The sequence below is a fragment of the Homo sapiens genome, chromosome Y (genome assembly GCF_000001405.40).
Source record: "Homo sapiens chromosome Y, GRCh38.p14 Primary Assembly".
NCBI lineage: Eukaryota > Metazoa > Chordata > Mammalia > Primates > Hominidae > Homo > Homo sapiens.
In genome coordinates, this window is record NC_000024.10 from 2,841,595 (window position 1) to 2,867,791 (window position 26,197).

Here is a 26,197-nt window from a genome sequence, read left to right on the forward strand (position 1 = left end):
ACAGATTCTCTTCCGTCGCAGAGTTTCGCCATGGTAAGACCGATAGTTCCTAACTCCTAGTATATCTGCCTCCATCATTTGAAAAAGGGCCGTTCTACCTTGGCGATGTTTCACTTTTCGGTCGCCCCTACTTGGTGGGTGGGAATGCTGCTGGTGCTGCTTCAGGAAACCCGATTTGGAGAGGGGAGGTCTGAGAAGAGTGTGTCTCGTTGTGCTCGGTCTGGGGGCCGTCACGTGAGTCCATCCTTGACGCAGCCCGGCAGTGGCTTTTTACCCGGATTAGCTTATTTTCACACGTTGAAGCAGCCTCAGATTCGCTTGGAGAGCACTGTGGACGCTCTCTTGACGGATGCTAGGGAGACCCGCCAAGTTTTCAAAGGTCTGTGCTTTGCGTGGTCTCTTCTGGGGTCTGGCAGGAAGTAATATTTGTTCAAAACGGGGCTTGAGTATGGGCTGGGCGATCTTTTCTCCTTGAGTCAGGTATTACCCGTTAGCAGTTCCTACAGCTGAAGATGAGGGCATTTCACTGTCAGCGGAAACTAATTTCTCTGAGTTTCGTGTCCTTTTCAGGCCCGGGGCCCCAAGAAGCACTTAAAGCGTGTTGCAGCGCCGAAGCATTGGATGCTTGACAAACTAACGGGTGTATTTGTGAGTATAACTTTGTTTTTTGTGGTTTTTTTTTGTTTTTTTTAGTCAAGAGTGCATGCTAAATACCTGTGGCTCGGTATTTCTTGGGGGCGGCGTTTGCTTGTTTGTTATGTGGGATTTTCGTTGGTAAAGACTTCCCGCACCCTGAACTTGTCCTTGCACTTTTCTGTGCAACAAAGGGCCAGGATGTCACGTCCCGATGGTTTCCTTTGCTCTTTTAGCTCGCCACTTCAGAGGGCACTTCCTGAGCCCAGAGCTGGGTGGGTTAATGAATGTGTCCAATTCCACATAAGAAAGGAGTTCAGTGACAGTCCGCTGAGTCCCCCATTAATAATCAAATGCGTTTAATTTAAAGTTACCCCTTGTTTTAGAGGGTGGAGTAGCTGCTTTTTACGTTGAGCCCGAGTTACTGGTTTAATAGTAAAGGCTACAGGAGCCCACGAAACAAGGGCAAGAAGTTGTGTGAGAAAGTCTGGAGGCTCTTGAACCCAACCTTGAAGACCTGGCAGGATGAGGGCAGTATACTCAGAGGCACAGTAGGCAAGCATCTCACAAGGAGACTAGGCAATTTCCACATTGATGGTGTGGTCACACTAGGAGAGAGTGGTTAAAACTGTAAAGTCTTGGTCTTCTGAGACAGAGAGGAGCCAGTGTGAAGAAGACAGAATCGAGGCGCTTAAGATGCCAAGGGTTTTTTGAGCAGGAATAAATGTGGTAAGAGACTATATTTAGCTCTGAGGGTCTCCATTTAGGAGGCACTTAGTAACTAACTTGATTTGGCCTCTTCTTGGTACAGTTTGAACTCTGAACACTGAGTAGTAGAAACTTGTCTTCCTTGTTCTGATATTTTCAGAGAGAACATAGGCAGTGTGTTGGCTGGGGACCTGGATTTGCAACCTGTCCCTGTCAGTTTCTGCTTCCAAGTGCTACCTCTGCTACTGTCACCTACTATTTGACCTCCCTGGATGGGCCATTGTTTTCTCTATTGTTAAGTGGATGAGCAAGGCACTCTTTAAGAAGACTTGCTGGGAACTTGGTCCCTTAGTCTTGTGGGTTCCTCTCCTTTTCCCTGTGACATTGATGAAAGTGTGTGGTTAATGATCGCGAGTCCGTTTTAAGAGAGACAAAGCTAGAGAGGGATCTGTAGAAGCAGCTTGAACGGTCTCCATTGGAAGAGATTCTTGTGTGATCCAAACTTAAAAGGTAATTGGGGAGTGGTGTTCAAGACAGACCTTGAGACTTTTATATGTACTGGTAGCAGATATCCTAAGGACAGTATAACACCAAAACTGCGAGAGTATAGGTTACAGGATTTGTTGCGGTGTGAATTTGATGACACTTAAGCCGGCAAGCAGCCAAGAGAGGAGGAACGCACATTGGGTATTACAGGGTGGTCCTGCAACATCGGCAGGGCTTGTGTGGAACTTTGAAGCCTGGCATGGTGAGAGAGTAGTAGAATATGTCTTCATAAGGTTTTGGGTAAAGCGTAAGCTACACTTGAGATACATGGGATGTAGTGTTGTGTTCAAGGGAGGTTTGAAGAAGGAGTATGAGTGGCAGTGGTGCTTGGGGCAGGGCAAAATGGGGAGATGGTTGTGAGGCTAGATTTGGGGAAGGAAGGGGCACAAAATGAGATTTCCATGGTTGGGGATATGACCTTCCTAACAAGACAGACCTCTAAACTAATAAAATAATTGCCCTCTTGTATTCCTCTTCCCCACAACAAGTTAAGTTCAGCTGAACTTATGCAGAACTAAAGTACGTCATCTGCTCAATCTGGTTACATAAGGAGTGGATCTTCTTAGATTAGGTTACCTTTCCTTGTCTTCTACAGGCACCTCGTCCATCGACAGGTCCCCACAAGCTGAGGGAATGTCTTCCTCTGATCGTCTTCCTCAGGAATAGACTCAAGTATGCGTTGACTGGAGATGAGGTAAAGAAGATATGTATGCAACGTTTCATCAAAATTGATGGCAAGGTTCGAGTGGATGTCACATACCCTGCTGGATTCATGGGTAAGGAAAGAGTTCTTTGTTTTGTTTTGAAGAAGGAACAGGTTGAGAGAAGGACAAGATGTAGGGCTCTCATGTTGCCAGTGATAAAACTGGACACTGAACTTCAGATTTCTGCAGAAGTTACTGCTGGTCCTTTCAGAAGGAGAATGAGGGATAGGGAGAGGAGTGGCAAGGCTCAAGTGAAAAGCTGGAAAGGGGTTGATAATGTAAATGGGATGAGGCCAGCAGTGGCTGCATGCTGGCGGATTATCAAAGTTAGGCTCCTACCTTCCCGGCAGAGACTGGGAGACAGAGGAGCTGTCCTTAGGTGTTGGCTGGAACAAACAGTAAATTCTTTTGGCAGCCTTGAGTTTTCTCAGGCAGGCATTTTGAGGCAGACTGGGCTCATCTTGAGCTTTTAGAAGCTGTGTTAGTGTTGAGGTCTTCATAGGTCAAGGTTGAAGCTTAGCCAAGAAGAGGGCTCAGAGGAAACTGGCTAACGATTGGTCAAGGAGAGAATCTTTGTCAGTGAACAGGGTTTTGGCTCTGTCTTCCCACTTCGTTGATGACTTAACTATTCTGGATCTCCAAGGATGGATTTGCAGCTTTTTTTGGCGGGGAGGGTGGAGGAGGGGCAGAAGGGTCACACACCTCTAGGGAAAAAGTGTACCAAGAGGGAAGGTAGGGAAAGGTAAGGAATTCTGACCTAGTGCTTTGTTCACCCTTTTCATGGTGAAAGGCTCAGTACAGCTTTTTAGCCTAGCATTGTCCAGAAAGCAGGGGGATGATTACTTTGTCAGGTGTGGATGCTACCGAGTGGATGGGGTTCCAGGCCGGACATTCCTAGGATCCAGCCACTGAGTTAGAAAAGACAGACCTTCCTTTTCTTACTTTCCTTCCTTCCTCTTTTTTTTTTTTAGCATTTTGCTTTGTTTCTCAAAACCCCAAATCCTGAGTGAGGCAGGACTCCTGATAAGCGAAGTCATGGAGGGCGTAAATGGGGCCAGGACATTGATTGGGCAGCCTGCTGAGCCTGGAGCCTTGCTTGCTTAAATGTGAGGTCTGCTTGTTCATTTGGTTTCCTGGTATTTGTGGGTGTGCTCATGTATGTTTTCTCCTCAGGATCCTGAGTGCGTTAACCCAGCACACAGTCTCAAGCAGCTATTGCACAAGAACATAGGAAGCAATAGAGCAGCCATAAATGTATTCACTTTCTTTTGTTGGATGACATGTATTGGGAGAGGAGCAGGGGTTGGTTGGTTTCATTCAAGCACCTCCGCCAAGCCCTGGGGACTCCTAGGCTGCTAAAACGTTCTCAGGTTCAACCTGGCATAGAGTGTTCCTGCTGTGCAGGCAAAAGAAACTTTGTGTTTGTGTTAACGATGTTCCTTATACCCTTTTGTGATCAGATGTCATCAGCATCGAGAAGACAGGTGAACATTTCCGCCTGGTCTATGACACCAAGGGCCGTTTTGCTGTTCACCGCATCACAGTGGAAGAGGCAAAGGTATGTTGCACAAGTCAAGTGAGCTTTGTAATTTCCAGACAGATAGGTCGGTTGCTAAGTTTGTCAGAGGGTGTTTAAGCCAGATTCCGGGAATATTTCCTATCTCTACTTGTTTGTCTGGTTGTTTAATCCAGGCATGTAGGTGCACACTGATAGAAAGTAATGGATTTTCCACACAAGACTGTTTTAGAAACGGGATTACAAGTAAGGAGTTCTCTGAAGGACAAGATATTTCTGTACAGGAAAGATCTGTGATATTGACCAGGAAGGCCTGGGTAGAAATCCAGATTTCTTGTCATTGATTAATTGTGTAACTGCAGGCAACAGTACATAGAACCTTTTTTGAGTCTTTGTTTTCCTTGTAAATGGTGATAATATGCTTTCCTGCCAGGTTTCTGTGACTATGTTAGTAGTAGTGCTGCCTTGCACTTGCTAGACATAGAAGATGATTGACTGCCTGATGTCTGCCTCTGCCCTTAAAACTCCCTCTTCCCTCCCCAGATTTAATGGCTGAAGTTTCAAGGAAACTTTCAAGGGAGTTGCTTTCTGTGTGGACAGCACCTTCCATTTTTCTGTGTAGGGAAGACCTCTTTGGAAACCAGGATCACCCTTCAGTCATCCATTCCTCTTTTCCCTGGATTTAGGGTCATGGGGTGACTTTGTTTTTCACATGACCCAATCACTTACAGTGACCAGATGCCATCTGAATATGAGATGCATTCTGTAAGTGAATCACAACGTTTCATTGGATGTTGTTTCTACTTAGTTTAACCAGCTTGCCTTTTTCTCTGTTATTTCTCTGGGGGAAACACATTAGAGTCCCTAAAGGAATTGACAAATATCGGTTGTTTGGTTGTTTCTGACTTATTTGGTCGTGTCCCTTGATGCAGGGTCCATTCTGTTTTTGTGGATTCGCCCACAGGAGGTACTTTGTTTTAGATGATAGGAACTAGGCCTTGAATCATGCAGTGTGTTCAGTCGCGTAGGGTGTTGGATTCTTTTGTACCTAAAAGGTAGAAAGCACAGAGGAAATCAAATCTGATGACTGGTTTCTGCTTTTGTATGGAATTTGGATCTCAAGAGACAATGCAGATTGGTAGTCCCTGTGAATTTTTAAGTAGGGGGAGATGGAGTGGGACAAGGAGATACTGGAGTGTTGTTAATACCTAGTACTGGCCCTACCAGATTGGCCAGCCAGGGTGTAAAAACCTTGTGTCCAGGAGACTATCGCATAGTAGCGAGAAGTGCCAAATGGTTGCCCTGGGTTACGGTATTGGCCTTATCCTTGTGTAACAGGTGAGAGACTTGGGAAGTTTTGATTGAGCTTATTTGTTTGCTGGTTGTTTCTTTGGGCAGCTGGAAGGGAGCATTCCCTGTCACAAACCCCACCCAGTTTAGCTTGGCTTGAGCCAAGGACACAGCGAGTTCAGAGTGGAGAATCAGAGGCTCCTGGGACGTCAGTTATGTCAGGGACACACCAGGGAGCCTTTTCATAGTTTATTAATCCACCAGGTAGCATAGGTTAGTGGAGAGACAGAACATCCAAACAGCCCTCCACCCTTGAAAATAAGACTAGAAAAGTGGTATTTTGTGGGTCTTGGGAAAACAGCCTGATGGATTTCAGACATAATATTTCCCCGTAACAACTTGGTATTAGTTGTTGAAGACCAAGGAAATGGAAGTCACTGGATTTAAGAATGGGAGATTAGGTCTGTTTTTGTGGGTGATTGCCATTACAGTGGATGGGAGAAAAAGAAAGAGTTTGGGTGAGCCCATGATGAACTTGCACACGAGTAATGGGAACTAAGGCAGTGCCTGTTCCCATTGTGAGTGGGGGTAGAGAGCACAAGTATCACCTGGAAGATGGCAAAGAAGACAGGGGTTTAGAATATACATCCCCAGCTGTGGTGTGGAGGAAGCACATGTGGAACAGGGTGATTGAATATTTGGTGGTAGGATAAGGAGATGGTAGCTGCAGATCTTGGTGAAATACATGGATGCTTGAGAGAGTTGTGGATGGAAGGACAGTACCTTAATGCTTTGGGTTCAGCTTGCCTTGCAACTTGCAAATAGATGATAAGACAGAAGTAAGTGCTGACTGAAATAGAGGACTGAAACACTGCTCAAAAGAGTTACAGTAGATGCTGTCTGAATAGTTGGCACAGAAACCTCATTGATACTGGGCAGCTTGTGTTCAGTGATAGGTGTGTATGGGGAGAGGGAGATTTCATATTGCAGAAGGTTTATGAACAGGGTCTAGGTGGTGCAGGTTCTGTTTCCTGAAAAGTAGAAAATACTGGTTAAAGAAATCAAAAAGAGAAAATCAGAGTAACCAACCAAACAGAGACTTGGGTTTATGGATTACCATTCTTGAACGTTGAGAAGACTGAATCTCATAAAGGTGACAGTTATTCTCAAAGTAGAAGATACGGGACAGTGACTAGAAAGAGGCAGAAAGAGGGATTTTCTTTTGAGATAGTGGGTGATGTTTGCCCATTTGTTTTAGAGAATTGGAGACTGGTGCAAAAGGAGATGATCAAGACCATGAGTGGGGAGACTAGTGCCTTTTTGGTGGGCAAGGAAGAAGACAGGTGGAGGGAATAGGCAGTTGAAGTTTAAGTTTCAGAAAAGATGGAACCTGGGCAGTTAGATCTGTTTCTGAGGGAGGCCAGCTGGGAAAGATTTCATACTAGTTTGTGTAGGTGTTGTACAAAGGGCAGTGGAAACTTGAAGCGAAGAGTTTATCTGTGGTTTGAGAGGGACAGCGTAGAATGCTCTCAGGGGAGCCTCACATTTGACATTCATTTTGGAGAATGACAGGAGGCTTCACCTTGCAGTCAAGATTGTATGGAAAGGGTGTCAATGGGGCAGGCATGTTGTAGTAGGTGGTGATGTAATTACAAATTATGACTGGTCAAGACTGCTGAGCAGACAGATGGTAGAGTTGAGGTTTTCTTGTGGTAGAGTGCTATTCAACAGTTAAGAATAAACTTTTTCTCTGTAGTTCTTCTATTAAAATAAATCTGAAAAAATTCAGTAATTTTTTTGGATACAGGTGTTTTTTGGGTTACATGGATGAATTATCCAGTGGTGAGTTCTGAGATTGTAGTGCACCCATCACCTTAGTAGTGTACATTGAACATAATGTGTAGTTATTTTTATCCCTGGCCCCCTCCCAACCTCCCTCATCTGGGTCTCTGGCCCCCTCCCAACCTCCCTCGTCTGAGTCTCTGAAGCCCGTTATATCACTCTGTATGCCTTTGCATACTCATAGCAAGATAGGGGTTTTGGTTTTCCACTCCTGTGTTATTTCACTTTGAATAATGGCTTCCAGGTCCATCCATGTTGTTGCAAAAGGCATTATTTTGTTCCTTTCAATGGCTGTTTTTCTCCAAACTTCTGTCTCTGAGAGTGCTCAGAAACTGACACATTCTGGAGGCTACCCTGTCTAAGCATTTTGCTTAGATATGCGTGGCTTACATATACCTAGGCTCAGCTACCTTTTATTTCCGTGGCTCCCAACCCTCTCCTTTTCTCTCAGACATTTCCTTTTGTCTCAGACATTTTATTATAAGCAGTTGGTTTGGCATCCTTCAGCTCATACTGTTTTGTTTTCATCCATTGTATCCTTGCCTTTGTGGCTTTGAGCCTGCCTACTTGCAGGACTCAATCCGAACTCTGATTCCTTTACCACATAGAGGCTGAGCCCCATACTAGGAACTAAGGATTGAACTCAGAGCAGTCTCCTGTCTGCTGTCATTGTTGTGCCTTTCTCACTTGCCAGTGGTGACTCAGAGGGCCCTACAGTCTTTGGGAGTCTTGGGGCTGGAGGACAGAAGGTGATGGGGTGTCACATCTTTAAAATCTGAAGACAGTCTTTTCAGCTGTGGGACAGAGGAAAAATAATTGGTTTTCTGCAGATGTTGAGGCTACCCCTGTGGTAAGAGGTTTAGCTCAACTGGAAGTTCCCCTCATGATATGGCCAGTCTTACCCTTAGTGAACCTCTAGTTTCCTGGCAGGATGGGCCTCTACTAAGCGAGAGGACCCAAGATCTAAATCCTGAGCTGTTTTGGCCACATGAAGGTGCATAGGTAATAAAAGTCGTCTGAGGTGGATGTGAGGAAAGCCTGCTAAAGTTGGCTTTTGCAGGAGCACTCCCACTAATAAAAGTGTTCAAAAGTTTTTAGCCTGCCTTAGTCCTGGTCTTGAAGCACTGGAGACCTGGTCAGTCAGCTCTGTATAGAGGTTAGACACAGAACTGTTACCCGTTAATGTGCTAGCATGCTTACAGGCATTTCACTCACTTATAGATAGTTGCTAAGTGTAATCTGTATTTCACAGTCATCTGTGGATGCTTAAAGGACCGACACGCATCGTGAAGCTTGGGTTAACAGTTCCAGACGGAACTATCTCACAGGATGGAGGGAGGCCACTTGGAACTGGAGGCACCTTTAAAGAAAGAGGCCATGTCTTTTTTCAGAGGGTGTTTCACATGTGCAGTTAAAGGCCGAGGACCTTTGGGCACAAGGCTTCAAGTTTGATGTTGTGATATAGCAGTGAACTGCATGGTGCTGTTGCTATCCATGCAGAAACTGTTGGTTAGTGAAAGGATCTGTGGAGGATATAGGAGAAGAAAAAGTTTTTACTTGTTTTGTTTTTGCTGTCTTTCTCCTGACTGTCAGCAGTACCTGCTAACTATTTTGACTCCCTTAGCACTGTTCTCAGCTCAGCTGAGAGAGTACACTGGACAGGATGTACATGAAAAGTGGAGGGCAGCAGGTAGGCTTTGAGGTGTGAATAGGCCTTCTATGAGTTCACAGTCATAGAACTTGCTTGGACCTGTCTTACCTGGGCTATTTGGAGCTAATGAGCCAGGGTGGAAAAGGGACAAGATTAACTTTCACTGGAAATGTTTTAGAATCACCCAAGTAGGTTCAGGATGTCACATACAAAAAATGTGGAGGACAGTTGGGTGATAGGAATGCATTCAGCAGGCCGTGATGCAAAGACTTGCTTCATGAAGTTGGAGGGGCAGAGGTAGAGAGCTTGCATTTCAGAGTTCTTTCTCTGGTTATCAGGGACAGAGGGTTTCTTTCTTTTTTTTTTTTTTTTTTTTTGAGACGGAGTCTCGCTCTGTCGCCCAGGCTGGAGTGCAGTGGCGGGATCTCGGCTCACTGCAAGCTCCGCCTCCCAGGTTCACGCCATTCTCCTGCCTCAGCCTCCCAAGTAGCTGGGACTACAGGCGCCCGCCACTACGCCCGGCTAATTTTTTGTATTTTTAGTAGAGACGGGGTTTCACCGTTTTAGCCGGGATGGTCTCGATCTCCTGACCTCGTGATCCGCCCGCCTCGGCCTCCCAAAGTGCTGGGATTACAGGCGTGAGCCACCGCGCCCGGCCCAGAGGGTTTCTTATATCTAGCGTGGAGTAGAGCTGGAGAGATTGAAAATGCCCACTAGTAGCCCTAGGTTGGTTAAAGTAACACTGCATTAGTAAGTGGTCACTGGATTGGTACTGATGATTGGATAGCACATTTTAAAGGTAAAGTGCAAGTTACTCTTTTAAATGAGGATGGAAGAGTGAAGTTGACAGATTGTTTTTAAGTCTGGCTCCACTGGTTGCAGAATGTATACTGAGTGGTGTAATCTTTCTTATGGTTTGGTCCCAGGGCTTCGGGAGGTATAAGGGGAAAATGTGTTTTCTCTGTCTGCTTACTCAGCACCTCTAGCCTTACTTACCGTAGACTCAAACAAACCTGGAATCTTAGCCCACTGCTTTGGTGCTTATGGACTATAGCTTCGTACTTTTCCACTTTAGATTAGAGGGCAAAGAGAAGAATGGGCTTTGATAGGCATATTATACCCCATCCACATGTATTCACCCTGAGGTTGGGCAGGTTAGTATCCCTCTGTGCCCTTGTTATATCATTTATTGTCTGAGGCAGTTCTGCTTGGCTGCTTAGTGAACCTCCTTTCAGTACCCTGGACACTCTGTGTCTGTGTCCATATTCTCCCTCTGCCTCATCTCACGTAAGTATTTTGCCTACTGTAGCACCACAGCTTGATGATTTTCTGTTCTGGTACATAACCTTATCTGCTGAATTTGGTTGCATATTGGATCTGTCTTCTCTTATGGGGATGTTTATACCTGATTGGAAGGAATGTGCCAAGTTGTATTCAGTGTCTTAATGACAGCACCCCCTACCCTGCCTCTGCACACATTCACATTACCTTCATTACACTTGTTTATGGATGGCCAAGTACTTACATCGCTGGGTGGTGGGGCCATTCCTATAGTCACCTTGGTTTGCACTGTGTTTGGTTTGCTCTCCTTCTGCCACCATTCACTCCCTCCAAGTTCCATCCAAACTTTCAAAGGGCTTCTGTCCTGCTGTGCCTTACTATGACAGGCAGTAGAACAAAAGTTTTACACACTGTGGCCTTTTTGTTTGTATGCAAGCAGGTTTCTGATGTATTGTCCTTTAGGGCCAAGTTCTGGACCCAAAGGCATTCCTAAAGTTAATTTGGGGGTGGTACACACAGTGGCAGGGCAGCCGGAAAGGAGGATGTGGTTTTCCTTTTCCTTTTGGAAGAAAAGGGCTCAGTCAGCCTAATTGTCCCTTGAAGTGCTTCCAACTTTTCTTTTAAGAGCTTTAATTGGTATGTTTGCATGCAGCATCTGGGAGTTTCTTCAATTTCTACATTTATGTTTGACTTCTGAATTATAGTCTCTGAAGTTTTCAGTTGGTTGGTCCAGTAGGCAGTTCTGATCAGGGAACTTACGCAGCTTTCAATTCTTTGCTTAACTCACTGGCCAGGAAAGCTGGAAATGATCTTGAGTTTCTATTAGTAGTGGTGGTAAATATGAGGTGGTGGTGGCAAACAAACTGAACACTCATTGGAGAATGCCTGGAGGGGTGTGTCAACTGTGAAGTTTTGATTTGAAGAGCGTGCTCTCATTAGATTGACTGCATAGGATCCAGGCCTTAACATGGATAAGTGGGCTTGGATATGCCAGGCTGATGAATTCCAGATTTACCTTAACTGGGGAGTTAATGTGGCCTAAGTTCCACATGTGGAATAGGAGCCTTTGTCACCTTTTTGGACTGCTGGCTTATATTAAATGGCCTCACATCTCCATAGCACCTTGAATGGTGTTAAATCTATAGTAGCAGCAGAAATAATATTAGCTGACATTTACTGCTTTGCCAGGTCCTTTATGTTCCATTATCTCATAAATTTATAAGATGTAGTAGTGTGCAATAATTATTCCCATCTTGCACCTCTGAAGCTTAAGGGGACAGTATTTCAACTTCGGCCTTTTTTATAGGAGAATGAGCCAAGCTCTGGTTACTTTACTTACTGTGTCTCTTTCCACACCTCCTAGGCAGGTTAAAAGCAGTGATAAGAGAGAAGCTGGCAAACCTAGTTAGTCCTGAGAGCCCAAAGATACGGGAGAGAGGAAATGCAGCAGCTGATTAAAAAACAAAAAAGTGGCTCCTCGAGTTCATTTATTGTACAGTTTCTGGAGTATTTCTGTCATCTTTTCAGGGAGTTTTTCTGTCATCTGGCACTCTGTTTGTCCTTGTCATTTTCATATTTACCCAGAATTTGTCCTGAGACTTCAGAGGACTGTACTCAGTTTAAATGTGGAGTTTTTAATATCTTTTAACTTTTATAAGCTTTTTCTCCCAACAAAGCTGAAAGAAAACCCACTTTGTCACTTCTGAGCGGTGACAGTCCATGGGGAGCCTGTGGTATGTAGGATGGGCATTGGCAACCATAAATGGATTATGTTTGTTTGAGATTACATAGTGTACCATTTGAATCTCCTGAAAATTGCTTCTGGAACAAAATGGGGCTTGGATAACTCTTGGGCTGATACATGTACTTGGTATGAGACATTTTGAACTCCTCCTGCTGATAGATGTCACGAGCAACACCAGAGTGGTAAGTGTTAAACAAGGAATAAAGCAAGTAGTTAATGGGTTGTGCCATTTAAAAATGAGATGAGGAAGAGCAGCATTGTGTACAGAAAGCATGTAGCTGGCCGAGACAGCTGTTTTACCTAACCTGGTCATAAAAGCCTCATGATTTTTTTTTTTTTTGAGACAGAGTTTCACTCTTGTTGCCCAGGCTGGAGTGCAGTGGTGCAATCTCGGTTCACTGCAACCTGCACCTTCCGGGTTCAAGCGACTTTCCTGCCTCAGCCTCCCGAGTAGGTGGGATTACAGGCATGTGCCACCACCCGGGCTAATTTTGTATTTTTGGTAGAGACGGGGTTTCTCCATGTTGGTCAGGCTGGTCTTGAACTCCCGACCTCAGGTGATCTGCCTGCTTTGGCCTCCCAAAGTATTGAGATTACAGGCATGAGCCACCGCACCCGGCAAAAGCCACATGTTCTTAGCAGTTCTTAGTAGTGGTAGAGTTAAGTTTGTCTCTGGGGCTCTTTGTTACCACCGCTCCAGAGTTGCCCATTGAGGACTATCAATTGGAAATATGTCCCTGAGGAAAAAATGATATACCAGTTGATTGTGTGTTACCACTCAGATACACAGGCAACAGGCTTTTAGCCTGTGATAAAGGACCAGAGGTTAGTTCAGCTGAGCACTCTTCCAGCAGCCACCAGAGGGTTCTGAAACAGATTCCCCCTTGGCAAGGTTTCCCAAATGTCTAAATTACTAAATCAGTATGGGAGATCATCAGCTCTGTGACTGGTTAATATAGTTTTTCCCAAGAGCACTCCTTCTCTGACCGAGGAAATGCTGGAAATCGATGGGATAAGTAATGTCTGGGTGACTGCTTTAGGCTGGCTTTGTGTTTACATATTGAATTGATTTTCCTTGCTGTGTTTATAGTACAAGTTGTGCAAAGTGAGGAAGATTACTGTGGGAGTGAAGGGAATCCCTCACCTGGTGACTCATGATGCTCGAACCATCCGCTACCCAGATCCTGTCATCAAGGTGAACGATACTGTGCAGATTGATTTAGGGACTGGCAAGATAATCAACTTTATCAAATTTGATACAGGTAAGTTTTTTTTTTCCCTTGTGTTGTCTGCCACCTCCCTCTTTGTCTTTTCTTTTTCTTTCTATTTTATTCTTCTGTTTTGTCTGTACACCCATTATGATTAGAGAGAACTAAAACACATTTGGTTTTCTCTAAGAGCATATTGTGTCATGGTCTCTTGGGTTTGCAGTGGGTTCTTGATGTTGAGTAGAGGTGTGATGTCCCTTTGGGCTATCTCCAGTAGCCCAGCCTCATTCAAGAATGTAAACCATAGCTATGTAAACTCTGTGTCCATTCTGTTTGTCAGAAGAGGGGAACTTTGTTTTAAATGCGATAAAGTTTAGCTGTGTTCCTTGAGGTGAAGGGCTGAAGTTGTCCAGATAATCTTAAGCTAGTGATGAGAAAAAGATGTGTCTACAGCTTTGTTTCTCCTCCCTACACCTCAGGCTCTGACTCCTGACAGGTTTATACCCAAGTGCTTGCTAATACCTGATCAGCTAAGGAAGTAAAATATTTTGCCTGACTTGTTTTAACAGAAATTTTTAGACATGCAGAAACACTGAAAGAATAGGTCAGGGACAACAAACAATGGCAACTCCTTTTGTGCCATTCTTCAGTGACTTTTTTTCTGTTGCTTTTTTTGATTTTGTTCTGTTGCTTATCTGCCCTCCCTGTTTACCTGCTTATGGCACCCCCGCAGTCCTCACTTGGACTCTGATTTAAGACCTAGCCAAAGTCCTCAGTTGCCTTGGTGTTTGAACCTAGGCTGGCTGTCTTGAGTTGAGTACTCCACAGGCTAGGGTTGTCTGATTGTTTGACCACTATGACCTTGTACCTGTGCTGCCTGCACTTCTGTTATTTACTGTTGACCTGAAAATTTTAGCCAAGAATGTTTGTTTCTTCGCTGTGAAAGTTGAGAGGGCTTCCCATTAGGGGAAAATATTGAGAGGGGATATTAAACAGGATGTGTCATGCTTGTGATACCTAAACCTGTTGTTTGATTTCAGTGTGACCACAGAGATAACCAGATATCATGCACCTCCTAGTAATAGCAGGAAGTAATAGCAGGAATACTTACATTCAGGAAGTATTCTTGTCAAAGAATGAAGACAAACTTGGGTAAAGGGACAAAGGAAAAAATGTATATATTGGAACACACTTAAGAAACATTTGCGGAGTTACTTAGATTTTCGAGTGGCTTGTGAGAATATTTCAGGTTCTAATGATTTGGTACTGGCCATTTGTTTCTAAGTGATCCAGCGCAGGACTGCATAGGTAAAGATGAATCAAAGCTGGCCAGGAGTTTAAAAATGTTACGAAGCTGGAGAGTGGGTAGGTAGGAGCATCTTATGCTTGTCTCTCAAACGTTTGCATACCTTTGAGAATAATTTTTTTTTTAATTTTTTGAGATAGAGTCTTGCTCTGTCGCCCAGGCTGGAGTGCAGTGGCACGATCTTGGCTCACTGCAAGCTCCACCTCACAGGTTTGCGCCGTTTTCCTTCCTCAGCCTCCCAGGTAGCTGGGACTGCAGGTGCCTGCCACCATGCCCGGCTAATTTTTGTATTTTTAGTAAAGACGGGGTTTCACCATGTTAGCCAGGATGGTCTTGATCTCTTGACCTTGTGATCCGCCCACCTTGGCGCCCCAAAGTGCTGGAATTACAGGCGTGAGCCACCGTGCCCAGCCGAGAATAATTTTTAAAATGGATGTGGACTTCTTATCTCCAATGAAATGATATGTTGTATCTCATTTGTTTATTAAATCAAATTCCCAGTTAAAATTCAACAGATTTTTTTTTCTCCCCCACCTAACTTGTTTGTTTTTGTTTTGTTTTGTTTTTGGGGGAGTTTTGTTTCATTTTGCTTTCAGACAGTCTTGCTCTGTTGACCAGGCTGGTGTGCAGTGGTACAGTCTCGGCTCACTGCAACCTCCGCTTCCTGGGTTCAAGTGATTCTACTGCCTCAGCCTCCCAAGTAGAGACAGGGTTTCACCATGTTGGTCAGGCTGGTTTCAAACTTCTGACCTCAGGTGATCCACCTGCATCGGCCTCCCACAGTGCTGGGATTACAGGTGTGAGCGACCGCCCTGGCCCTAACTTTATTTGAAATATATATCCCTTTGTCTTACACAAACATGCTTGGTATTAATTTTTTTGCTTATTTGTTTATTACTTACTAGTTTACTTAGTTTAGTCCTGGGAGTGTACATAAAATAATCTCAGAATGACAAAGCCAATATTCCTAGTAACAAGAAACCCACTGAGTGAGGGCAAAGGTTTTTTTGTAGTTCTTGGTTTGTTTGGTTTTAAATGCTTAAATAATTTTTAATTGTGGTTTCAAAAAAAAAAAGATACGTCAGAGATTTACCACCTTAACCATTTTTAAGTGTACAGTTCGTTAGTGTTGTTAACTATATTCACATTCTTATGTGGCAGATCTCCAGAACTCTTTCATCTTGTTAAACTGAAACTATGTGCTTTAACCAACTTTGCCACTTTCTCCTTTCTACAACCTCTGACAACCACCATACCACTCTGCTTCTGTGAATTTGACTCTTTTGGGTGGTGTCTTAATAAGTGGAATTGATAGTGTTTGTCCTTTTCGACTAGTTAACTTTGCTTGGCGTCATGTCCTCAGGGTTCATCCATGTTGTGGCATGTGAAAGTATTTCTTTCCTCTTTTTTTGAAAGAGTTTCACTCTTGTCGCCCAGGCTGGAGTGCAGTGACTTTATCTCCGCTCACTGCAACCTCCATCTCCTGGTTTCGAGTGATTCTCCTACCTCAGCCTCCTGAGTAGCTAAGATTTCTGGCACCCATCACCACACTCAGCTGATTTTTGTATTTTTAGTAGAGATGGGGTTTCGCCATGTTGGCCAGGCTGGAGTCAAAACCCTTGACCTCAGGTGATCCACCCTCTTTGGCCTCCCAAAGTGCTGGGATTACAGGCGTGAGCCACCGCACTTGGCCAGTATTTCCTTCCTCTTTCTAAGGCAGAGTAATACTCAGTTGGGTGTGTATACCACATTTTGTTTATCCATTCCTCTGTGGATGGACATTTGGGTTGTCTCCACCTCTTGGCTACTGTGAGTAATGCTGCTGGGGACACAGCGGTGCAGACAACTCTTCCAGATCCTGCTGGATGTTTTTGTATACACACTTAGAAGTGGCATTGCTGGATGAGATAGTTTTGAAATTTTTGAGAAACCATTGTGCGGTTTTTTTATAGCAGCCTTGCCATTTTACATTCTTACCAACAGTGTAGAAGAATTTCAGTTTCTTCACATTCCTTCCCACACTTTGCTGTTGTTTGCTTTTTATATATTTTCTTTTTTTTTTTCTCGTGGCTATCCTGGTAGGTATGAGGTCATATCTCATTATTATTTTTTTAAATTTGGAGTTCTGTGATGAGTAGAGATGTTGAACATCTTTTTGAGTGTTTGTATGTCTTTGGAGAAAGGTTTTATTCATGTCCTTTGTCCAGTATTTAGCTAGGTTGTTTCTGGTATTGTGGAGTTGTAGGACATCTTTAGATAGTATCAGATGTAAGATTTGTGGATGTTTTTTCCCATTCCATAGGTTGCCTTTTCACCCTTACTGATTGTTTCTTTTGGTTGGCAGGCATTTTTAAATTTGTCAGGTTTTGCTTTTGGTGTCATGTCCAGGAAATTATATCTCTTATGTCATGAAGCTTGTGGTCTCTGTGTTTGTCTTTGGAGCTTTACAGTTCAAGGCCTTACGTTTAATCTGTTTAGAGCTGGTTTTTGTATATGGTGTAATGTAAGGTATTCTCATGTTGTTTCTTTACATGGGGACGTAGATTTACCAGCACCACTTGTTGAAGTGACTGTCTTTTCTCCATTGAGAGGTCTGGGCACCCTTGTTGAAGATCATTTGGCCATATATGCTTGGGTTTATTTCTGGGCTCTATTTTCTTCCTTTGGTCTGTTTGCCTGTCTTTTATGCCAGTATCACACTGTTGAATTACTGTCATTTTGTATTTTGTTTTCAAATTAGGAAGTGTGTTATCCAAGTGAGTCAACCATGCTCAACTTCGGTTTTGTCAGTTTTTGTTAATCTGTTTTAAAATATCAACCCTTAGTTTTTTTTCTTTTTTCTTACTGTTTTTTTCTTTTATGTCTGCTCTGGTCTTATTTAATTTTCTTCCTTCTGCCAACCTTGGGTTTATTCTGTTTTTCTAGTTCCTTGTAATGTAGTTAGGCTATTCATTTGAGGTCTTTCTTCTGTTGTAACATAAGCATTTTTGAGCTGCCTTGTCTTGTGTGACAATTTTTGACTTATAGTCTATTTTGTCTGACCCAAGTTTGGTCACCCCTGCTCTCTTTTGCTTACTATTTGCCTGGAACATCAACTTCAGCACTTCACTTTCAGCCTGTGTGTGTCGTTAAATCTGAAACCGGTCTTTTGTTAACAGCATATAGTTGTAACTTGACTGGTTGGTTGGCTGGTTTTATTCATTTAGCTAGTCTGTGTCCTTAGATTGGGGTGAGGAGTTAATCTGTTTTACAGTCAAAATAGTTGCTGTTAAGGAAGGCATTAGTTAGTATAGCTCTGTTGTTAATTATTTTCAGTATGTTCTGTAGCTATTTTATACCTATTTTTTCTCCCTTATTACCTGCCTTTTTGTGCTCTGCTGCTCTTTACTTTTTATAGTGACAAAAAATAAAAGAACACTTTGAATCCTTTCTGATTTTGTGTGTCTTCCATGGTTATTTTCTTTGTGGTTACCAAGGGGATTACATAAATTATCTTAAAGTGAAAACAGTCTGTTTTCAACTGTTACCTTCAGTTGCATCTCCATATCCCCTCAGACAAATTTTGTTATTGATGGCACACATGAATGTTTTTCTATTGTGTATCCTTTTACCATTGGTTTATGGTTATTGATGTGCTTTTGTGTTTTAAGTTCTATACCAGACTTAAAAGTGATTTATACACCTTTGTGATCTAGGATTCTCTATTTGTCTGTATATTTACCTTTATCAGAAAGCTTTATATTTTCTTTCTTTCTTTCTTTTTTTCATATGGTTTTGTGTCTGACATCCTTTTGTTTCATCCTGAAGTGCTTTTCTTCAGCATTTCTCGTAAGGCCAGCCTAGTGGCTTTTGCTTACCTTGGAAGGTCTTATTTTTTCTTTCATTTTGAAAGTTATGGTATTCTTGTGAGGACTAAACCCTGATGATTATCTTACCCAAATCCCTATCTAAGGGATCTGGAGAGTTACGCCCTACAAATGAGCATGACTCATCATCAGATGGGTTTTATTTAACCCTATATTTCATGACTTACTTTCCAGTCTGACTCTGGGATAACATTACGAGACAATGAAGAAAATAAAAATATTTTACCCCAAAACATGTTTGCCATATTTTGAAATGGACTTGCAAAGCTGCTCTTCGTGGGAGTGGAGGAGAAATCTGCATCTGTAAAGAATCTCTATTAAAATAGATAAATCTTTTTCTTCCAGACCCTCCCAATCCTAAAGAGATAAACTAAAATCTGAATAAGAAACATTGGTCATTTATTGTCTCTAAGGGCAACCACTTCCCTAAGACTTCAGAAGAACTTCAGTCTCCATCATCTTTTATCTTAACCTGAGCATTCCCTTTCCCTTCTTACCAATCCCAGGCAAACTCAACCGTCAACCAGAAAATGTTTAAATTCACCAATAGACTGGACCTGATAACCCCCCAACCCTGCCCTTTCTTGACCAAACCAGTGTATTTCTTAAATGTATTTGATTGATGCCTCATGCCTCTCTAAAATGTATAAAACCAAGCTGTGCCCTGACCACCTTGGTTACATGTTCTCAGGGCCTCCTCTTGAGGGTTGTGTCATGGGCCATGGTCGCTCATATTTGGCTCTTTTATAGTTAGACTCTTCGTTGTCACTTGGTTTAAGCACTTTGAATATGTCATCCCACTGTCTTCTGGATTGCAGAGTTATAGCTTATCTAGCAAGAGCTCCCTTGTAAATGATGAGTCACTTTTTACTTGCTGCTTCCAAGATTCTTTCTTTGTGACTCTTGAGAGTTTGATTATATTGTCTCTTGATGCTTTGGGCTTATCCTAGTTGGAGTTCAGCTTCTTGAATTTGTATGTCCATCTTCTTTCACACAACTGGGGAGTTTGGGCCATTATTCTCTTCTAGTAGGCTTTTTGCCCCTCCCTGTCTTTCCCCCAAATCCTGTTCTCATTTTCTCTGTTTCTGTCTTTTCTCCTTCTAGGACTCTTGTAGTTTGTATATTGTTCCTCTTGATGGTGTCTGCTACTCCCTCTCTTAGGCTCACCTTTATTTTTCTTTTTTCCTTTTTGCGCCTCTGACTTGTTAATTTCAGTGGCCTGTCTTCAAGTTTGCAGATTCTTTCTGGACCTGTGATTTTTAAATTCTGTTCAATTGTATTCAGTTCCAGAGTTTGATCCTTTTTTGTGGGTTTCCTTTACATTGTTGATAATTCTCATGTTGTTTATGGGTTGTTTTTCTGATTTTGTTTGTAGCTGTTTCCTTAGTTTGATATGCATCTTTAAGATGGTTAGCTTGAATTTTTTGTCTGGTAACTCATACATCATCGTTTCTTTAGGCTTATTTTTCTAAAGAAAAACAGCCATCTCTTCCAGTCTTCCCTATGTATCTTCATACAGGGAGTATGACCTTCACCAGTCAGCCAGGCTAGAGGTTTTGGGAATCTCATCTCAGGGCTTGCATGTGTACTTTCTTGGCTGTGCTTCTCTGAAGCCCCTAACCTCTTGCTTTGCCTGATGCCTGTCTGTGGTACTATGGCCTCTCTGCTGTTGTAACAACTGTCTCATATACCCTGCTCCACCCCCATCCCTGTATGTCTTTTTTTTTTTTTTTTTTTTTTTTTGAGCTGGAGTTTCATTCTTGTTGCCTAGGCTGGACTGCAGTGGTGACATCTCTGCTCACTGCAACCTCTGCCTTTTGGATTGAAGCGATTTTCCTGCCTCATCCTCCGAGTAGCTGGGGTTACAGGCATGTGCCACCATGCCCGGCTAATTTTGTACTTTTAGTAGAGACGGGATTTCTCCATGTTGGTCAGGCTGGTCTTGAACTCCCAACCTCAGGTGATCCTCCCACCTCAGCCTCCCAAAGTGATGGGATTACAGGCATAAGCCACAGTGCCTGGCAATTTTTGTAATTTTTCGTAGAGACAGGGTTGTCTCATCATGTTAGCCAGGCTAGTGTTGAATTCCTGACCTCAGGTGATCTGCCTGCCTTGGCCTCCAAAAATGCAAGGATTACTGGCATGAGCCACCGTGCCTGGCATTTTTTTTTTTTTTTTTCCAAGACAAGAGTCTTGCTTTGTCACCCAGGCTGGAGTGCAGTGGCATGATTTCGGCTCACGGCAACCCCTGTCTCTGAGGTTTAAGCATTCTCTTGCTTCAGCCTCCCAAGTAGCTGGGATTATAGGTGTGTGCCACCATGCCTAGCTGTGATCCACTGCAGTAGAAAATTTTGTTTTCACATACTGCTTTGTCCATAACCTTCCTCTCACTTCAGTTTTTGGGACTTGGATTTAAGTTGTATTAGAGCTTTTCACAGTAGACCTACTTGTCCAGTCTTCTCCATTTTTCATCCTTTTGTCTTTCCATGGTGCATCATGAGCAGTTACTTTCAGCACCTTCTATTTTTCTGATTCTCTCTTCAACTAACTATAGACATGTTTCATTAAACCCATTCCTTTCCATTCTTAATTTTGGTAACCGCATTTTTCATTATTTGTTTGATTTTCAAATCCGCTAGGTTACTCTGCAAAGGTGGGCTTCTTGTTGATTTACATTAGTTTTGTTATGTTTTGTGTTTTCTTTTATCCTTGTACACCCTTTTAAGGCAGTTCCAAGTTCTGCATTTGGTTTGTGCTATGTTGAGGGTGGTGGTCTTTATCATGGTGTCTTAGTTCCTTCCATGCTAGACACTACATGTAAAGTACTGTTAGTAAGAATACTATGCGATCAAGATGATTCTGCCTTCCTTCTGTCTGGCATCTGGGCTGTCTTAGCAGCGTGAGATCACCTTGATCAAGACTTGAGATTCCCTTGCTGGCTGTCCAGAGAGGGTGAATTTCAGATTTTAAGTTATTAGGAAGAAGGATTGTTTTGGGCTCAGGTGTTTGTGAGGGTTTTGCCTTTGGGGTCCAGCTAATTATGGGAAGCGTCTGCTGTTTTCACCTGGAGACTGAACCCGGAGCTTTGATTTCTATTCTATTGTCCCTGTGAGACCATCAAAAAGAAAGGAGTGTCCCACAACAAAAGTCAACATTAGTTTGCACTCAGTCTGTTTTCCTGGGAGTTGTCTGATAGACGTAAAGAATAGAGCTGACACATTCAAGAATTATAAAATAGTGATTCATGGGAAGGGTCTCCGCTTTCAACCTCCATTTACTAATGTGCCCGTAGTAGGCACCATTCTAAATGTCAGGGGCTTTTTACTGGAACTTAACACATCTTGAAAGAATCAATGTTTTCATCAATTTGTAGCCTTTCTTCACTTTTAGAAGCAGTGACAAACAAGTGAAGTGAAGGAACTATTATTAACAATTTGAATTTTACCATAATTAGCTCTGTTTTTTTCCCTATGCATACTAAGTCCATAGTGTTCCCACATGAGGGTTCTGGAGAATGAACTAAAAAAAAACTTGGTGCACCTTTTAATTGACATAAGCATTGCAAGGCATTTCTGCTACTCTTGCCTAAGTACTGATTTTCTCTTAAAGGAGGCTCTGCAATTCAGTCTTGAGCAAAATAGTAAGTTTTCATTGACATTTCATCTTACCGCTTTTTCGGGATTATCTTCTGCTTACCAGCTAGCTCAAGCCCTGCATTTTGTTACTGAGCAGGTGCTTCTATCCAAACCTTCCTTAACTCCAAACCTAACTTAACTTTAATGTAAAGTATAGTATAAGAAAGTTCTTTGTAACTGAGGTTGTTAGGGGCTGCTCGTTTACTGTCTTAGTAGTTGCCACAAGGACCCTAAAGGACTGGCCAAGTACACTGACTTAAGAAACAAAATCTTGGGCCTTTTATGTGATTTTGTTATCTTTCAGATACAGGTCTGTGGGTACTTTCTTGTGACTTTAGTGGGTATCCATACCATCTTACACAAAATTACTTTCAAATCATTTCTCTAACTCTCCAGTACAGTTGCTAATGTTGAGGCAAAACCTTTGGTCCTTTTAATTCCTATGGCTTCTCACCATGTCAAAACACATATAAGCAGCTGGCCTTGGGTTTCTGTTAAAAATCTGCATGTTGGATCAACCAATGTATTTGTGGTAGAAAGGGTCAAACTGCAGAAATCTGTTTGATCATTGTCAGACCAAGCAATTTTTACCTTAGAGATAATTGTAATTTTCTTGCATCCTAGAGCCTCATCTTTAAGATGCTCAGATTGAGTTGGGTTCTTCTGTTTCCCATCAGTTTTTGAGAGATCAATAAGTGTAATATGTTTGTGCCATTGATTCATAGGTTATAATTTCAAATTTATCCTGGAGTTTTTTAGGCTAGGTTACTTGTTTGTGTTTTGTTTTGTTAGTATTAAGACAGGGCTTTATTCTCTGGCTTTGGTGGTGTGTCTTCTTTAAAAAAAGAGGATGTGTCCTTTTTCCTTTTTTTTTTAAATGTGTCTTCACATAAAAAAGAGGACTTGTGGCTGAGTCTTTATTAGCAGTGGTTTGAGGGAAAGTTTTTCTTAAAACATGTTTATTCTGTGATAGGTAGAACTTCCTTGACAAGGTAGCCTGTGTCCTAGATAGTATACTTATATTAGATGGTTATGTCCCGCAAAAATAACTCTAGATGTCTGAAACAAATGTATTCCTCCAGGGGTCCCCTGAGAGCCCTTAAAAGATTCCCCATTGAAAGACTGGATTAGCTAGCCATCCAGTTAAAGGCCTTTCTTTATTGTCTAGTGTCTTTCTCATAGCCTGAATTTCTCCAGTTCTCCCTCCCTCTCAGTCATCCTCCTTATCTCTCTACCCATCCACCCTACCCAGTGCTGTTCCATGCCATCTTTGTCAACCCCAAAATGATTATTCAACCTTTGAAGAATTATTGTTGGACAAACAATGCAGGGAAAGCTTATGATTTGAAAAATCATCAGGGGCCTGCCTTTAAATGCTGACTGCAATCTAATTCACAAATAGCATTCGTTTACAGTGACAAGAGTTCTTGAAATTACAATTTTGGGATGATGCTCCATTTTTTTTTTTCCTGGTGAGCCCGTGTGTGTTAATTTGTTTTAAAGGCAACAGGCCCGTCTGGTTTTAAAATGACTCCTCTCCTGTTTATTTTCCTTTCCCTCTAGGCAATTTGTGTATGGTGATTGGTGGAGCCAACCTCGGTCGTGTTGGTGTGATCACCAACAGGGAAAGACATCCTGGTTCTTTTGATGTGGTGCATGTGAAGGATGCCAATGGCAACAGCTTTGCCACGAGGCTTTCCAACATTTTTGTCATTGGCAATGTAAGACTTACACTCTCTTTACTTCTTTCTAAGAAGACTCATCCTAAAAAGCATAAAGACCTGCATCCACTACTGGTGTTTGTCTGTTTGTTCTTTTTCCAGTGTTAAGGTTCACAGAGTGCAGCAAGCTCTCTATTTAGAGCCTCTGAGAAGAAACAAGATTAGATCTAGAGCCTTACACCTGCCTCTTCAGGTGGTCTGTGTGAGATGCCAGCAGTGTCATTCAGTAAATTAAGTTAAACTCAGCCTTGCAACTTTTGCAGGGCTACATCACTGGTATGGGCTGGATTAAGGTCACTGGCTCCAATCCTGGTAGTGCTGTGCCCCCTTAATTTTGTAAGTGAGTCTGCTAAACCCCTCTGAGACTCCATCTTACAGTTCATCAGTGAACATGGAGTTGATGGAGATTGATGCAAGGGGGCTATGAGTGAGTTGCTAATTTGAGAATAAGGGCATTTACAAGGCACGTAACACTTGTTAGTTTACTTGTTCAAGATGATCTTGCTCTGGGATCTTTTGAGACCTTTTCAGTGAAGGAGCACCTCTGAAATCATGCAGTATCCTTACATGGGAGTCACTTGCCCCAAGACTTAAGGAAAGGGCAACGGACATAATTGAAAAGGCTTTTTATTTTTATTTATTTATTTATTTTTTGAGACGGAATTTTGCTCTGTTGCCCAGGCTGGAGTGCAGTGGCACGATCTCAGCTCACTGCAAGCTCTGCCTCCCGGGTTCACGCCATTTTCCTGCCTCAGCCTCCCGAGTAGCTGGGACTAAGGCGCCCGCCACCAGACCTGGCTAATTTCTTTTTGTATTTTTAGTAGAGACGGGGTTTCACCGTGTTAGCCAGGATGGTTTCGATCTCCTGACCTGGTGATCACCCAACTTGGCCTCCCAAAGTGCAGGGATTACAGATGTGGGCCACGACGCCTGGCCAACTGAAAAGCTTTTCATCAAGCTATTCAGCCCCGGGAGCAGCATCTTTCACTTGTACCCTGGCAGTCCTTAGGATATTTGAGAGAAGTGGTACAGAGGCGAAGCCTGCTGTTGTTTTTTTGGCTGTGCCACTCAGAAGCTCTATAGTTGGGCCATTCTTCTTCTCAGTATTGAATTATGAAACCTCAGTTTATACCTTTGAAAGCAGGGGATCAGGGAAGTGAGTAAATGCATGTAAAAGTTCTGTAAAGCTGATGATAGGGTGCTGACAGTACACAACTTCAAAACTATGAGAACCTGAAGTTAGTGGCCTTGCCTTTAAAGATGCTTATGAAAAACTTGTTGGCTGATTGCTTCACATAAAATAGAAGCAGGAAGACCTTTATTTAGCAGCTCAGCAGTGAGGAGTGGGAGGGACTGTGAGAGGCAGATAACCTCTCAGGAGACATGTATAAGGAAGTGTTTATTTTGTTTTAGATTTTGTTGGGTGGTGGTCTGTTAGCTGGCTATTAATGTGAAGGAAGGTATGAGGCATGTGTGTTTTGGTGGGATGTTGTTTTTCTCTCCTCCCTTTCTTTCTGTACTTACTTTTATCTCCTCTTCTATTGCAGGGCAATAAACCTTGGATTTCCCTGCCCAGGGGAAAGGGCATTCGACTTACTGTTGCTGAAGAGAGAGATAAGAGGCTGGCCACCAAACAGAGCAGTGGCTAAATTGCAGTAGCAGCATATCTTTTTTTCTTTGCACAAATAAACAGTGAATTCTCGTTTCTTAATGTGTTTTTTCCCCCTTGTGGATAATAGTAGGGTTTGAATTTGCTCATGATTTTGGCACTGTCTTAAGATCTCTAGGAATACCACCTATACTTCCTCTGACCCTCCAGTAAATAAACCTTTGCTTCCCTCATACATGTTACCCACACCATCTCTGTGGGCAGAGTGATGGAGTAGCATTCCAAAACGAAGTACAAAAAACGTATGACATTTCAGAAAGGACGGCATTCTTTTGTGGAAGCTATGGGAGATGGTCTTAGTTTTCTTGCTTGTTCACATTATTGGTAGAAATTAAATCCTGTGGCTGTAGGAAAGAGGTCCCTTTTTCCTTGCTGACTGACAATCTGAGCGCTTTTCTCAGCTTCTGGAGGCTATGTGCATTCTTTGCCTAAATGTCCCATTTCTCCATCTTGTTCAAAGCCAGCAGTGGCAGGTCAGGTCCTTCACATACAGAGTCTTTGGTCTTTCTTTGACCCATTCAGCAATGGTTCTCCACTTAAGGGGGGCCCATTAGAGTAACCTCTTATTCTCATGGATTGTCACTTTAATGTCGTATTTATAGGATCTTTGGATATTGGTTTTCTTACAGAAACTTCTATGGCTGGTGGCGCCTTTGCCTGAGTTTTGCTTGGCCTGCTGGGCTCGTTCTGCCCACTTGGCATCGCAGGCTGTGCTTGGCGTATAATACTGGCCTGGATCCCATGCCTGCCAAGGGCAAACCAGGCGTGGAGCAGTGAGGAGGGGTATGTGAACAAGCATGAGGTCTGGCCACTGCAGTCACACATGTTGGCTGCTGCCGCTGGGCAGGCAGCTCCAGGTGCCAGGATGGGTGCTGGC

At 42.9% G+C, this 26,197-nt stretch overlaps 1 protein-coding gene across 2 annotated transcripts; it reads left to right on the top strand.

The window, feature by feature from the left end:
* The first annotated feature begins 7 nt into the window (after nt 1-7).
* On the top strand, nt 8-25,674 carry RPS4Y1 (ribosomal protein S4 Y-linked 1). 2 transcript variants are annotated; one of them, XM_047442742.1, is made up of 7 exons: nt 8-379; nt 571-648; nt 2,483-2,663; nt 4,052-4,149; nt 13,006-13,177; nt 23,494-23,651; nt 25,199-25,674. In XM_047442742.1, the coding sequence occupies exons 1-7, from the start codon at nt 350-352 to the stop codon at nt 25,298-25,300; spliced, it is 819 nt and encodes a 272-aa protein (XP_047298698.1). In that variant the 5' UTR covers nt 8-349; the 3' UTR covers nt 25,301-25,674. The 2 variants fall into 2 exon arrangements, with proteins under 2 accessions (XP_047298698.1, NP_000999.1); NM_001008.4 differs by having other exon boundaries at nt 8-33.
* Nucleotides 25,675-26,197: the final 523 nt, after the last annotated feature.